At 40.3% G+C, this 14885-nt stretch overlaps 1 non-coding gene across 1 annotated transcript; it reads left to right on the top strand.

Annotated features, from left to right (window-relative positions):
• Positions 1-2007: 2007 nt before the first annotated feature.
• On the top strand, positions 2008-2190 carry LOC124900528 (small Cajal body-specific RNA 16). Its single transcript, XR_007088721.1, has one exon.
• Positions 2191-14885: the final 12695 nt, after the last annotated feature.

Below are 14885 nucleotides of genomic sequence, written 5' to 3'. Positions count from 1 at the left end.
ACTCCTGGCTTCAAGGGATCTTTCCATCTCGGCCTCCCAAAGTGTGATTATATGCATCAGCCACCATGCCCAGCTCCAATTGCGAATTTTATAAAGTAAATGCTCTAAGGGAAGTCAGAGACCTGTGAGCAGGTAGAAGCCTGTCTAACGTTTAATCAAGCTGAGGGGAACATTAAGGTCAACTTGGTGAGAAGCAGCCTTCAGATAGCCTCAATATAATCCCAAAAGGTTCTAACTCATCTCTTGTCCATCCTCATTCCCAATGTGAGTGGCTTGCTCTGTATGTACACAGCTAAAATTGAGTTTTCTATGGCAGGGGCCAACAGAAGTCTGCCTTACGGCAAATTGTGCCATATACTCAACATGGTTTAAGGTACTGTGCCAGATTTGGTAGTATTCCTCTTTGTGGAGAGTGGATACTTCATACAGGGATTTAGATACTGAGGGAATTAAGAAATTACACCTCCTTAATGGGATGTTACACTGCAAGTTGGGGAGTCTATATTTCTGTTTTTGGCGACTACTGTGTACATTTTCTGCTGCAAAAAACCAAAGTGACATCAATATTCCCTTGACACCTCCAGTTCAGCACACAAAGAGAATTCACTTCCTTGGAGGTCACCTTGATGCTATTTTCTATTGTACATGATTTTAAAATATATTGTGATAAATCTCATTTGTTCTCTTATTCAATGGTTAAAGGAACACGTAAGGGAGTTGGTGAAATATATTTAGTTGATAGAATTTTACAGATGATTTTCAATTCCTTATAACCATCTTGAGATTCATATGAGAAATTATGACCAAAATTATTAGCTCTGCTTAGATCAAGATGTAATAAAGAAACCTGTCCAATTAGGAACTAGTTCTGTTTCTCTCTGCTTTTCAAATTGGGTTCCACAAATATGAATGTTACTGAGCACCTTCATAAGGGACATGTTGTGTTTGTTCTGTTCATCACCAGTGAGAAGTAACTTGACATTTTCATTGCTAATAACTTCCTTGCAAAGTATATTGACACTTCAGTCATTTTTGAACCAAATCAACAAATAATGAGGGGCTGTTCTCTGAAATCCACCCACACAGTTCTTGCTCACAAATGATGCAGGCTGTTGAGGTGCCAAGATGCAGACGACATGTGGATGGTGGAATAATAACAGACTACCTAAATAAATGTTCAAAACATCAACAGGTTTCATTTGAAGGTGTGTAAGTAGCTACAAAACAAACTTGGTGGACATTAATTACTACAGGAGGTGAGAGGACTAGAAGAACATGCATAAAATGGATCTCAGAAATGAATCTCCCAAGCCTGCTTTGTCTTTCCCTGAAACCCATTTGCTTAGTGCTTCGTGCGTATATCCATGAGTTATTCTCCCAATGCATATGCCCCCTACCTGCTTTCCCACTTTGCTGTGACTACCCTTCATTGCAGATAAAAGAATCCACTCTTAATTCCTTCTGTTCATCGTCCTATATAATACTCCAGCCTCCACACAAGCCCTCCTCTCTGCTGGAAGGTCTTTATTTCAATTGTGATTCTCCTTTGTTCCTTGTACCTTGCTAACTTTTCTTAGTTAAAACTCATTGCCTCTTTCAGAAGGTCTACCTAGAGCTCCGTGTCTCCCTTGTGTTTCCCCCATTATTCACTGTAGAGCAGGGAGGGCATGGGGGTGGCCTGAGTTCAAATATTTGCTCTGCTGGGTTCTGCGCAACAAATTTCTTAACATCTCAGAAACAGTTTCCTCTTCTTTGAAGCGAGGCTGTCTATGATTGATTTTTAATATGATGAGAATTGTGGATGTATGCTACAGGCATATATATTAAAGAAGCCATGAACTTTTTCTTTTCCCGCTGAAGTGTATTCATGCCTAGACTTGCATCTGGCACACAGTAGATTGTTTTCTAGTGCCTCCAAGTTTTTAAAATATTTTGACGAGAGTTGATAATTGGTAGCAGGAGTAACATTCTGATACGAGATACTCTGCTGTTAGAAGTGGAACTCTCATGGTCTGGGGAAAGGCTCCTGTGTGGCTGAACCTGCCCAGCTGTGGGTGCAGCCTTGTACCAGGCACCCCAACCCTGACCTAAAGTAAATTCCCAGGAGAAGTCTTTCCTGGGATTTGAATTTGCAGTAACAGGTGTGAACATTCTAGCGCAGTTTGATCATATATGATACTATAAACAGGACCCCCCTGCAAAAAAGTGGAAATCTCTAGAACAGATTGATTTTTTTTTGCTTTTTATTTTAAGCATTTTTACATTAAAAAAATTAAATGTACATACAATAAGATGGGCCTTTTTTGGTGTATAGTTCTTCCACATTCATAGTTTCTTGTTCAATAATTCTTTGGTGAATGAATGAGGCGGCCACTATAGTACTTGGCACAAAGTTGGCTCTCAGTGTATACTTGTATATATGTAAGTGTATATACACTTACTGTGGCTACAGCTAGCACTCTGCATAGTTTTTTGGTAGCACATATCTCACTAAATCAGTGCCACCATTAGACTTGACTTAACAGAGCCGTGTCCTGGGTCCTGTGCATCAGGCTATTCATTGTATGGTCCACTGATAGACATCTTGTGAGAACTGTTAGAAATAAAAATTCTTGGGCTGCACCCCAGACCCACCGGAGCCTCATCTCTGGGGGTGGAGTTCAGGAATCCATGTTCTAACGCAGTCTCTAGGTGGTGCTCATGCAGGTATTTGCCAAGCACTGCTTTAGAGGGCCCTGCTCTGTTGTTTTTGTAATGTCCCTCTTGATGGGTGCCCCAATCCTTGAACACACTTCAAACCCAGGCTCCAAAACCCTCTGCCCTGAGTCTATTTCCAGAACATTTGTAGGTCTTTTTATTTGATCCATCAAGGGACAGCTATTTGCAGGGGCTGTGGATAGAGCTTGGACATGTGAAGGTGTCCACATGTGTGTGCCAGACCCCTTGCCAGGCAGCCTGGAGCTGGGGGAAGGAAGAGAAGGGCAGTAAGCCACAGGATGCATTTTTTTTTTTTTTCTGTTCTGCTAGTTCTAAATTGGAATCTGTCTTCCAGGTAATTTTGAAGTTATATTTATTAAGATTGTAGGAAAGAACATATTTTATGTAACTGCTTGCTAGCTTGAATTATATAATTTAGACATTCTAATATATAATATGCAGGCCCCTATTTTTACCCTCAGCCTGAGGCCTGCAAATGTTAAGGTTGAGTTTCTCCTGAATTCTTAATGTTTCCTTTCTGTGTTCTCCACTGGGCTGGGAACTCCTTGGTGGCGAGGACTGGGGCTTCTTTGACACTGTAACTCTATTGTCTTGTGCAGTGCCCGGTGTAAGTGACTTAGTAAATGTGTGCTGATAGGTGAATAAATGAATGAATTCCTTTATGAAGCTTGGGGCTGTCGGGGAAAACTTTGTGGGGGAGATGCTGGGCCAACATGGTTGTTCCTGGGTAGGGTTGGTGAGTCCATGGTAGACAGATGAAGTATCCTTGAGCAGGCACCACTTTCTACTGTTGGCACATAAATGGTTGGAATGAGGGAAAATTAAGGGAGTATAACATGGACATGATATCGTCTGGTGGAACTGATTCCTCAGACCAAACAAAACCAAATAATCTTTACAGTCTGTGCAAGACGAGTGTACGGACTGAATATTTGTGTTACCCCCAAATTCATGTGTTGAAGCCCTAACACCCAGGATGACTGTATTTGGAGATGGGACCTCTAAGGAAGTTAATTAATGTTAACTGAGGTTATAAGGGTGGAGACACCAGAGACCTCCATCTCGTCTCTCCGTCTCTTTCAATCTCTCTCATTCTCTGTGTGCACACACCAAGGAAGGGCCATGTGAGAACATAGTGAGAAGGCAACCACCCACAAGCCAGCAAGAGCACCCTCACCAAAAAGTGAGCCTTGCTGGAAGCTTGATCTTAGACTTCCCAGCCTCCATAATGGTGAGAAAATAAATTTCTATTGTTTAAGACACCCAAACTGGTATTTTGTTATGGCAGCCTGAGCTGACTAATACAGCGAGAGAAAAAGAACCAAATGCCACAGATTAATTAGATGTAATGAAAACAGCTGTCAAGCTAGTCCTAAACCTTGGCTTACTATAATTAAGTGTTCGATACAAACTAATTAAATTAGCAGTTCCCAGGTGTTGGTTTTATAGACAGTATAAATTATGCATTGAGGCAGGAAGCTCTGTTCATACCGAGGACTTATTTTGGTGGTTCTTGTTTTATGTGTGGCATTTGTTTCTGGCTTTATTATAATGACTTATGTCAGATATATCATAAAGTAGCATAATTGAATAATTGCATGTTGACTATTTAGATAGCTTTATATTTTGATTTTTTTTCCCTCTCTTTGAAATTCTTCTTTTACCAACAAAGGCTGGATTCCATAGACATTCTCAAATCTTGCTGGCTCAGTATGAGGGAAAGCTGAAAACAAAAGCTTTGTAAGTATAAGATGTATTATTAATGCTTGCTGCTGTGAAATGTTGATAATAAATAAGAGCTGATTGTATCCACTGCAATTTCTCACTCAATTTTGATGGCTGGGGAAGAGCATAGATTTCCAAGCAGAGTGAAAACAGGTTGTCTTGGTTTCTGCTCTCTTTATTAATGCAGGGTCGCAGCTGCATTGTCTCTTGCTAGTGATGGCTTAATGCACTTGTTTGGACTGCTAGTTGGTTGTCATTTTCAAGGGGACATCTGGCATTTGGACTGTTTTTGAGAGGCCATTGGTTTTTTTCCCATCTAAACATTTCACCTGATTCTCTTAATAAACTTGACGGTTTGTAAAATTCAGCCAACTAACCAACATTCATTAACAATCTACTTTATGTGTCAGACAGTGGGCCAAGCTTGGAGGAAGTTGTGAAGCAGAATGAAGCCTGTCCTGGTTCACAGAGAACCTAGAGTGTGACTGAGAAGTTAAGACACATGCAAAAAAAATCACAGTGAATCACGTGATAGTTGGATGTGCCAAGTACTAATTGTGCTGTGCAAAATAGGCCATCGTTTCAGGATGGAATCACTTCCAGGGGAAGAGATACAGGGTGGTCCAGGAGAAGTGTCCAGCACCAGTCCAACATCTCCTTGAGCAAGGTTTTTCAAGCTGTATTGACCCTGCCTGATTTCTTCTTTTTCTTCTTCTTCTTCTTTCTTCTTCTTCTTCTTCCCCTTGTCCCTTCTCCCTTCTCCTTCTCTCCTTTTCTTCTTCTTCTTTTTTTTTTTTTTGAGATGGAGTTTCACTCTCGTTGCCCAGGCTGGAGTGCAATGGCACAATCTTGCCTCACTGCAACCTCTGAGTCCTGGGTTCAAAAGATTCTCTTGGCTTAGCTGCCTGAGTGTCTGGGATTACAGGTGCCTGCCACCACACCCAGCTAATTTTTGTATTTTTAGTAGAGATGGGGTTTCACCGTGTTGGCCAGGCTGGTCTTGAACTCCTCACGTCAGGTGATCCACATGCCTCTGCCTCCCAAAGTGCTGGGATTACAGGCGTGAGCCACCGTGACTGGCCTGACACTGATTTATAGGAAGAAAAGTACTTGATGTCAAACTGTACACCTATATGGATATGAATCACAGAAACTGAAGATTCACCAGACAATACTTAACCCTTTCTATGTGCTGTGCACTTTATTTTATTTATTTTTAACACTTTATGAAAACACTCTATTTTATGAAAAACAATAGTAGCTGCACTCAATAAATTGCTAAGTGCTCCTTTAATTGGTTGCCATCCTGCGTTAATTAATAGTCTGGATTCTCCAGAGAAACAGAACTAATAGAATCTATCCTCTCTCTCTCTCCCTACCTACCTACCTACCTATCTATAATCTATCTACTATAAGGAATTGGCTCATGAAATATGGAGGCTGAGAAGTCCTAAGATCCACAATCAGCAAGCTGGAGACCCAGGAGAGCTGATGGTGTAGTTCCAGTCAGAGTCTGAGGGCTTGAGAACCAGGAGACCTGATGGTATAGTTTCCTGTTCAAGTCTGGAGGCAGGAGACCAATGTCCCAGCTTGAAGACAGTCAGGTAGAGAGAAGGAATTCTTTCTTACTAAGCCTTTTATCTCTTCAGACCTTCTAGGGATTGGGGAGGGCCGTCTGCTTTACTCAGTCTTTTGATTCAGAAGTCAATTGCATACAAAAGCACCCTCATAGACACACCCAGAAATTATGTAGAACTAAATATCAAGGCACCCTGGGGCTCAGTCAAGCTGACACATAAAATCACTCATTACACACTCAAAACCTGAAAATTTCTGTGGTAGAGGCCCGACTTAAAATTCCACAGCTGCTTCCCACTGGGCTACCTCCCTATTCTCCTCTCCATGCCATCCTATAATAGGAAGCCCATGAAGTCATCGGTATCTCTGCAGTGGATTACCTAGGGGTTCACCAGAGAAACAGAACCAATGGAATATATATAGTTACATAGAAAATGCTAATCATCAAATGCTAATCATCATCAAATGCTAATCTCTTCTGAAAACACCCTCACAGACACACCTAGAAATAATGTTTTACTAGCTCTCTGGCATCCCTTAACTCAGTCAAGGTGACATATAAAATTAACCATCACATGCATTTAAGGATTATTAGTAAAGGAGTGATATCCTCTATTAGATTAGAAATCACATTTTGGAAAGATTACTCTGTAATTACTCGGTAAAGAGTGTATTTCTAAGAATTTAATTGTGGCAATATCAAAAGGCTTCATATATAGACCATATACTTTTGGAGTGGGTAGAATGGATATGGAGTATAGATCAATGTTTCTTGAGCATGAGACCTGGAGCACTTGTTAAAACACAGGTTGCTGGGATCTACCCACAGAGATTATGGATTAGCAAATGTAGGATGAGGCCGTGGAATTTGCATTTCCAACAAGTTTCTGCGTGATGCTAATGGTGCTGGTCCAGGGACTACACTTTGCTTATTTAGTGCGGTAGTAGGAAGAATAATTACCCTCAAAGATGTTCATGTCCTAATCCCTGGAGCTTGTAGTAGATATTTTATGCTGGATGGCAAAGGGAAATTAAGGCTTCAGATGAAATCAATTTATAATTAATTTATTAATTAATAAATCAATAAGTTAAGGTTACTACAGAGCTGATTTTGGGGAGATTATCTTGGGTTATCTGGGTGGGCCCAATGTAATCACAAGGATTCCTAAAATTAGAAGAGGGAGGCAGAAGAGAATTAGAGAGAGATGCCGACTACTGAATTTAAAGTCGCTAGCTTTGGAGCTGGAAAATGGGACCATGGGCCAAGAATGCAAGCAGCTTCTAGAAGCTGGAAAAGGAAAGAAAATGGATTCATGCCTAGACTCTCCAGAAAAGAGTGCAGTCCTGACACTTTGGTTGTAGCCCCCTAGGACACATACTAGAGTTCTAATTTACAGAACTGTAAGATAATGAAGTTGTATTGTTTTGACCCACTAAATTTGTGGTAACTTTTTACAGCTGCAAAAGGAAACTAGTACAAATGCCTCCAGGAACTGCAGTGGGTACTGGGAACACAAAGGTGAAAACCACTTATTCAATGACTTTGAGCTTCTCTATTTTTATTTTGTCCCTGCTCCCATCTCAGGGCCAACCAGAGAAAGCCAAACATGCATCCCAAACCAGTCACTTAAGGTGTCCTGCCTCCAGCCTTGCCATGCCAACAACCTCCAACCAGAGCATTTCTGATTGATAGATCATATAAAGCCTTTCTACTCCGCTGCCTACCTTTGAATCTCTGCCAATCACAAGTGATGGTAGCTGACTCCCTTGCTATCGCAAGCCCTGAATAAGTAACCTCTGTGTGTCCTCATTTAGGTGATCTTCATTTATTTTCAGAAGACATAGTGCTCTCCTTTTTTTCTTTTCTTACTGATTATTCTAGTGCAGTGTTTTGCTACTGAGGGTAATTTTCCCCTCCTTCTAAGAACCTGGGACATTGCAGTGTCTGCAGATAATTTGGTTGTCACAAGTGGGGTATGCTACTGGCATCTAGAGGGTAGAGGCCAGCAAAGGTGCTAAACATCCTAAAATGTACAGAACAGCCTCCAACAACAAAGATTTATCTGTACTAGAATGCTAATAGTGCTGACATTGAGTAATCCTGCTCTAGTGGTAGAAATTTCTGGCCTCCATGCAGTAGGGAGGTGTGTGTGGAGGGGTCTTTTTATGCAAGTAGGACAGTAGTACTAACATAAGACAAAGGTGACTAGCAATCTAGCTACACAATTCACTCTGACTAGGCTCATTCTTGCAGTAAATATAGTCTTTGCTTCTGCTTCCAAAATAGAATATGACCTCCTTTGTCCTGAACAAATAGCAAAGGCTAACATTTCATTTTGTGCCTCTGCTTAGTAACTCCTAGAGATCTATAACATATGTAAAAACATGCTAATATATTTAAATCTACTTAACTTTGTATATATGTATGAGATATGACTATCATGTGATATTTCCATGTATGAATCGTGGAAATGGTCTCTTTCCTTCATAGCTATATCATACACGCAGATACACGTACACAACTTTGTTTCCAGCTGGCTTGATTTGCAAAACAACTTCCCTAGTTCTCTTCTTCCATTCTCCCTCCAGTCAAATGGGGCTGTGTTTAGTTTGAGCCTTATGTATCCAAGAGATTCTCATCTCTGGATCTTCTGAGCTGATTTGGAATGCAAACTATGGAAGCCTCCATATTTCTCATGCATTTAAAACAAAGCTGCAGTTTGAGATTTCTTCCATAGATTGACCTCTAGTGTTTCTGATTGACAAGCTCTGGAAGAAAGAGACAAGAAAGACCTTAGCTGTGAAGAGAAGCATTCTGAATCCTTTTGCTCTGACATTTTGCAAGCTCACAGACTAATTAATCAATTTCATTAAAAAAGAGAGAATGTTGCCATGGTATCATAAGGCATGTTTATACTGCCACATTAAGATTTCAGGGTATTTTTAATCCTTAATTACCCATTTCTTCTTCTTCTTCTTCTTTTTTTTTTTTTTTGAATTGGGAAAGGCCTTAAAATTTCTTTTTTTGATTATGCAGTTTTCTGCTAGTGTTTTCTGAGGTTGAGGTACTAATTGAAACAGAGCTGCCTCTCTTATGTGGAGGAAATAAGACCACCTTTGGAGCCCTGGTTTTGTGTAAGATTTGATTAAAAGTTCCATGCAGATTATTCTACCAGTCTGTCTTCAATGCACATGCTTTTGCACAAGACACCACTAATTTATCACAAGAAGCATGACCCAGAAGGAGTTTTGTCTATAATGTATGTAAGATATGCTTGTGAAATATTTCCAGAAATATTCATTTCTAGCGTTTGGTTTTCCCATAGCATCACAGAAATATGTAGTGTTGATAATAAAACTGGTGGCATTTTGCCCTGAATGATAGTTTTCTGAAAGTGTCAAGAGAATTAAAAATGTCCAGTTTCATTTAAAGAACCTGTTGACTACTTGAAATAACAAGTAACACTCTGATTATTTAAAGAGCTTTTTCCTAGCATGTTTTCTAACTCCTAGTCATCAAACAGATGGGTGAGGATGTGGAAAGAGAAGGTGCAATGTAGCTTTTGAATTAGATCAGAATGAAACCTTTCTTATTAAAGTAGACTAGGAATAACAATAATAAAAACAAGCAGACAGAAGCCTTCTCCTGCATCTTATAAAGGATTTTGACAATGTGTACAGTAATTCTTTTCTCTTTTCTCATTTGATTTACTATAAACTGTATGCTAAAGAAGATTTGGAATCTTACTTTAAAAAATGAATAATGAAAAATATAAATGTGTGCCTGCCTTTTATAAGGGACAGTCTAGCTTGTGTGTCTGCCTCTGGGTCTCATTTATGCATTATTATTAATGTTGAATCGGTGGCTTACATTGTAATAGTCATTTATAACATATGCTTATTTATAAGGTATATTTGAAGCTGATACCTCAGCTTTTTCATGTAGCTCAGCATGAAGTGGTGCTCCTGGAAAAAAAACACTTTTTCAAGGACAAAGGTAGTGTCCCGGCAATGATGTCTATAAAGAACATCTCAGAAATGGAGTGCCTTTCAGTGCAGCAACATTTTACACCAATAGGAATTCTCATTTTCGTGTGCAGACTACCAAGCTGCTTTGTGACTTGGCCTGGCACTCACTATCATGATGCCTCTATCCTCATTGGTTCCACATGAGAACAACAATTAGAATTGCCTAGTAGCATGACTGTGGACAGCCAGTCTAGGTGAGTGAAAATCCAGCTCTGCAGTATAAAAAGTACTCTGTTTTCAGCTATTTCCTGCATTCAAAAAAAAAAAAAAATCATACATTGCAAAATGTGTACTGAAAAGTTGTCAACACATACCTGGGTAGAATATTTGTAAGTTTGATTGCAGCAGCTATTAGCCTTTTAATTAGAATGAAAGTATTACTGTAAGTTGGACCTTTGGCCAGGATAATTGATCTAGGCAAAATCTCCATTATCTACTGGTGCATTTTGGTTGTATAGTGTATGACCTTCAGCTGCAATTGCACAAAGACAATACAGATTCCAGACCCTCTGCAATCTAACAAAATTCATTCAACTGGTATTGAGTGCTCCTTAAGTGTTGGTGCTTGAGCTAGGGGCTGGAGATAGTACTAAAAATAAGACACAGTCCTTGTGCTTAGGATTAAGAAGCTTAGAATATACCAGATGGAAGGATACAGACAAGAAAAGAGGTAAAATACAGTGTTCATGTAGTTAGCCTAGTTTGACTTTGATTTGGAGTCAGGGCTTACTGAAAATCTACTGCAATTTGCAGTAGGAAATTAATATTTAATTCTTATTTTCAGGCTGCAATAACAAAATATAATAAGATGGGTAGTTTATAAACAACAGAAATTTATTTCTCACAGTTCTGGAGGCTGAGAAGGCCAAGATCAGGGCACTGGCAAATTCAGGGTATGGTAAGGGCTTGCTTCCTGATTCATAGAAGGTCTTTTTCCCTCTATAATCTCACATGGTAGGAGGGGTGAGGGATCTCTTTGGGGCCTCATTTAAAAGGCACAAATTTTATTCATGAGGGTTCTATCCTTATGACCTAATTACCTCCCAAAGACCCTACCTCAAAATAACATCACACTGGGGATGTCAACAAATAAATTCTGGGGGGAGGAGGGAGTAGAAATTTAGCCTATGGCAGTTCCTTTCCCAGTTGCTTTAGGAACACAGGGGAGTGATGATCTAGCACATCCTTGGGGAGCTTACTTTCTAGATTAATTTAGCATCTCTGCTATATCCTAAAGGGTAGATCAGTGTTAATGATGAAGGGATTGGGGCTTAAGGAGAAGGAGTACAGAGCAAAGGCTGAGGAAGACCATTTGGGAGATCCGTGGCTGGCTGGTGGAAGGTGTGCTTAGATCATGCATTTACCATAATGGAAATGTGACATAACGCTAAGAATTATCTGTGGGTTGATTTACACAGGCAGCGACTCTCCCTGGAGTGTCTCAGATGCATGTGATGTGCATGAATGCTGGGTTTGGATCAGTGAGCTGAAAGACGCAGAGCATCACATCTGGCTGGATGAGTCCATATTGATTGTGGACTGGGGAAGAACCATGAGCACTATTCATTCCAGAAGAGTAGGAAGCAAGATATGTGTTCAGTGAGGTTGGCTGGCTGACCCCGAAGCCACGTTTAGCTGTGGTGAAATGACCTATGGAAGTCATGCATGGTCATTTTCTTTACCTCCCAGCAGAAGATCTATTTCTGTTAAACATAGTCACATAATCCCAGTACTAGTCTCAATTTCAAAGCAATTAGGAGGCTTTAGCTGAAGTTTTACTAGATGAGAAATAAATATACCGAAAGGTCAGCTTTCATCCTGTTTTGGAGGAAGATGTATAAGAATGTGTGATAAGAACTCACAAAGCCAGGCTGAGAAAGAAAACAGTCAGAAAACTGACTATTTACCTTCATTTTCATAATTTACAGAAAGTCTATTTAAAGAAGGCAGTGATTTGTTCAACCTGGGTGTTGTAATGTCTACACCCTGACATTTTGTGTGTGCCATCTACCACATTTACCAGACCCTGGGCATGGTGCCAGGAGTCAGCATGCTGATCTCTGGTTGGAAGTCAGCATTTCCTGGGTGCAGAGTCCTCTAGTGATGATGGGGACAGAGGAATCAGTATTTCCATGAGTACCAGACACTATTTTCCTGGGAGAGGCGGCAAAGCTGAATGAGACAGCATTGGCTGGCTAGGGGTAGGAAACTAGAGTTTTAGTCTCAGCTCAGGTGTAGTTATTCGATTGGTTGTCATTTAATCTCCATACCTCAGTTTTCGTCTCCCCTATCATTAAAATAATCAGTAATATCTGCCTCATCCTCATTATAAAACTGTTGTAAGTTCTGATGGGATGATGATTTAAAGTACTATAAGGAAAAGTCAATGGCAATTAGCACAAGTAGTCATTTATATCTCAGTCATTGTCTTAGTGCTTTTGGGTTGCAATAACAAAAATACCACAGACTAGGTGGCTAATGCACAATGGAAATTTATTTCTCACAGTTCTGAAGGCTGGGAAGTTCAAGATCAAGGCACTGGGAGATTCGGTGACTGGTGAGAAGGCCCACTTCCTTATAGATGGCCATCTTCTCATTGTAACGTTACATGGTAGAAGGGGCAAGGGAGCTGATATGGTTAGGCTTTGTGTCCCCACTCAAATCTCATCTTGAATTATAATCCCCAGGTGTTGAGGGAGAGAACTGGTGGAGGGCAATTGGATCATGGGGACAGTTTCCTCCCCAAGCTGTTCTCATGATAGTGAGTTCTCATGAGATCTGATGGTTTTATAAGTGTTTGGTAGTTCCTCTCTTGCTCACTTCTTCTCTCTCCTGCTGCCCTGTGAAGAGGTGCCTTCTGCCATGATTGTAAGTTTCCTGAGGCCTCCCTAGCTATGCAGAACTGTGAGTCAATTAAACCTATTTTCTTTGTAGATTACCCAGTCTCAGGCAGCTCTTTATAGCAATGTGAAAACAGACTAATATAGGAGCTTTCTGGAACTTCTTTAATAAGGGCGCTAGTTCTACTCATGATTGCTGTGCCCTCATGATCTAATCACCCTCTTTCTTAGTCTATTTTCTGTTTCTATAACTGAATGCCTGAGATTAAGTAATTTTTAAATAAAAGAAATGTATTTCTTACAGTTCTGGTGGCTGGGAAGTTCACGGTCAAGCAGCTCATCTGATGAGGGCCTTCTTACTGCATCAAAACATGGTGGAGGGCATCACGTGGTGAGAGAGCTCATGAGAGGGGACCAAACTGGCTTTTATAACAGACACATTTTTGTGATAACTAGCTCACTTTTGTGATACTCATTAATCCATGAATGACTCTGCCTTAATGACTGCCCAATCACCTCTTAAAGTCCCCATCTCTTAACACTGCTATATTGGGGATTGTCTCAGTCTGATTGGTGTTGCCATAACAGAATACCTGAGACTGGGTAATTTGTACAGAAAAGGGTTTTATCTAGTTCACAGTTCTGTGGGCTGGGAAGTACAAAAAGCATGGTGGTGGCACCTGCTTGGCTTCTGGTGAGGGCTTTTGTGCTGCCTCACATCATGGTGGAAAGCCAAAGGGGAAGCAGACGTGTGTGAAGAGACAAAACCTGAGGGATGCCATTGCTTTATAACAATCCACTCTTGAGAGAGCTAGTTTATTCCCAAGATAATTATTTCAGTCTCACCAGGGCAAGAATCACTATTGTGACAATGGCACCAAGCCACGCATGAGGGATTCCTCAACATCACTGAAATACCACCCAACATGCTAGATTGGAGATCAAATTTTGACATGAGTTTTTGTGGGGACAAACAAATCATATTCAAATCATAGCAGAGATTAAATTTCAACATGAGTTTCAGAGGGGACAAACATTCAGATCATAGCACCACCCAAAGACACCCTCTCCTAATACCATCCATCACCTTGAGGGTTAGGATTTCAACATATAAATATTGGGGGGACACAAACATTCAGATGATAGCCGTCGAATTATTTTGTGATATCATGGGCCACAATTATTTAAATAACTTATCAATTATTTTTGCAGACAATTGAAGATTATAACTTTAAATCGAGCATTTAACGATCACCACCCTTTAATGAAATGCATGACACTTTTTATGGCCATTAAAACTTAGGTGACACTGAGCATGATAGTTTGAGGCATTGGTAAACTTTTTCCTATTACGGGCTGTGGAGTAAATATTTTATACTTTGTGGGACATACAGGCCCGGTCACCACTTTCACTCTGCTGTTCTAGCATGAAAGCAGCCATAGATGATTTGTTAACTAATAAGGGGGTTGTTTTCCAATAAAACTTTACACAAATTGGAACCAAGCTGTATTAGTCTTTTGGGCCATAGTTTGCCAACTCCTGCTTTAGCCTAATTTCAGAGGGGTGGGAAATATAACTCAACTATTTTCCCAGAGGATGTTGTGCTGGAATATTGGTGAGAAACAATGTTCAGCTGTTTAAGTATAAGCATGGCATAGGCAGCTGGCAAAGTTGAATTTGATTTGGAGTTTTCACAAGGGAGTAAAATGGATGGCATATAACGGATGGGGGTTAGGTAATTAGTGGTGTTTTTAAGGCAGTGATTATTCAGACCCTTAGCTAGGTGAGCAAAAGAGAGAGGACATGAGCGGGAGGCAGGTGGCAAACATTGTTGGGGCCAATGCATTGGTGGTTTTGATGAAGTCAAAAAAATCTTGAAATGGAAATAATAGTTCGAGTGTGCCAAATGGATAAATTATGGTGGTCAGCAAGTAGAATGCTGAAATTTTTGGAAGTGGTTTAGGTATTGTTATAAAGTTGGGGGTAGAGGTGAA

Source organism: Homo sapiens, chromosome 2, assembly GCF_000001405.40.
Source record: "Homo sapiens chromosome 2, GRCh38.p14 Primary Assembly".
NCBI lineage: Eukaryota > Metazoa > Chordata > Mammalia > Primates > Hominidae > Homo > Homo sapiens.
This window is presented reverse-complemented; position numbering and strand designations above follow the sequence as displayed.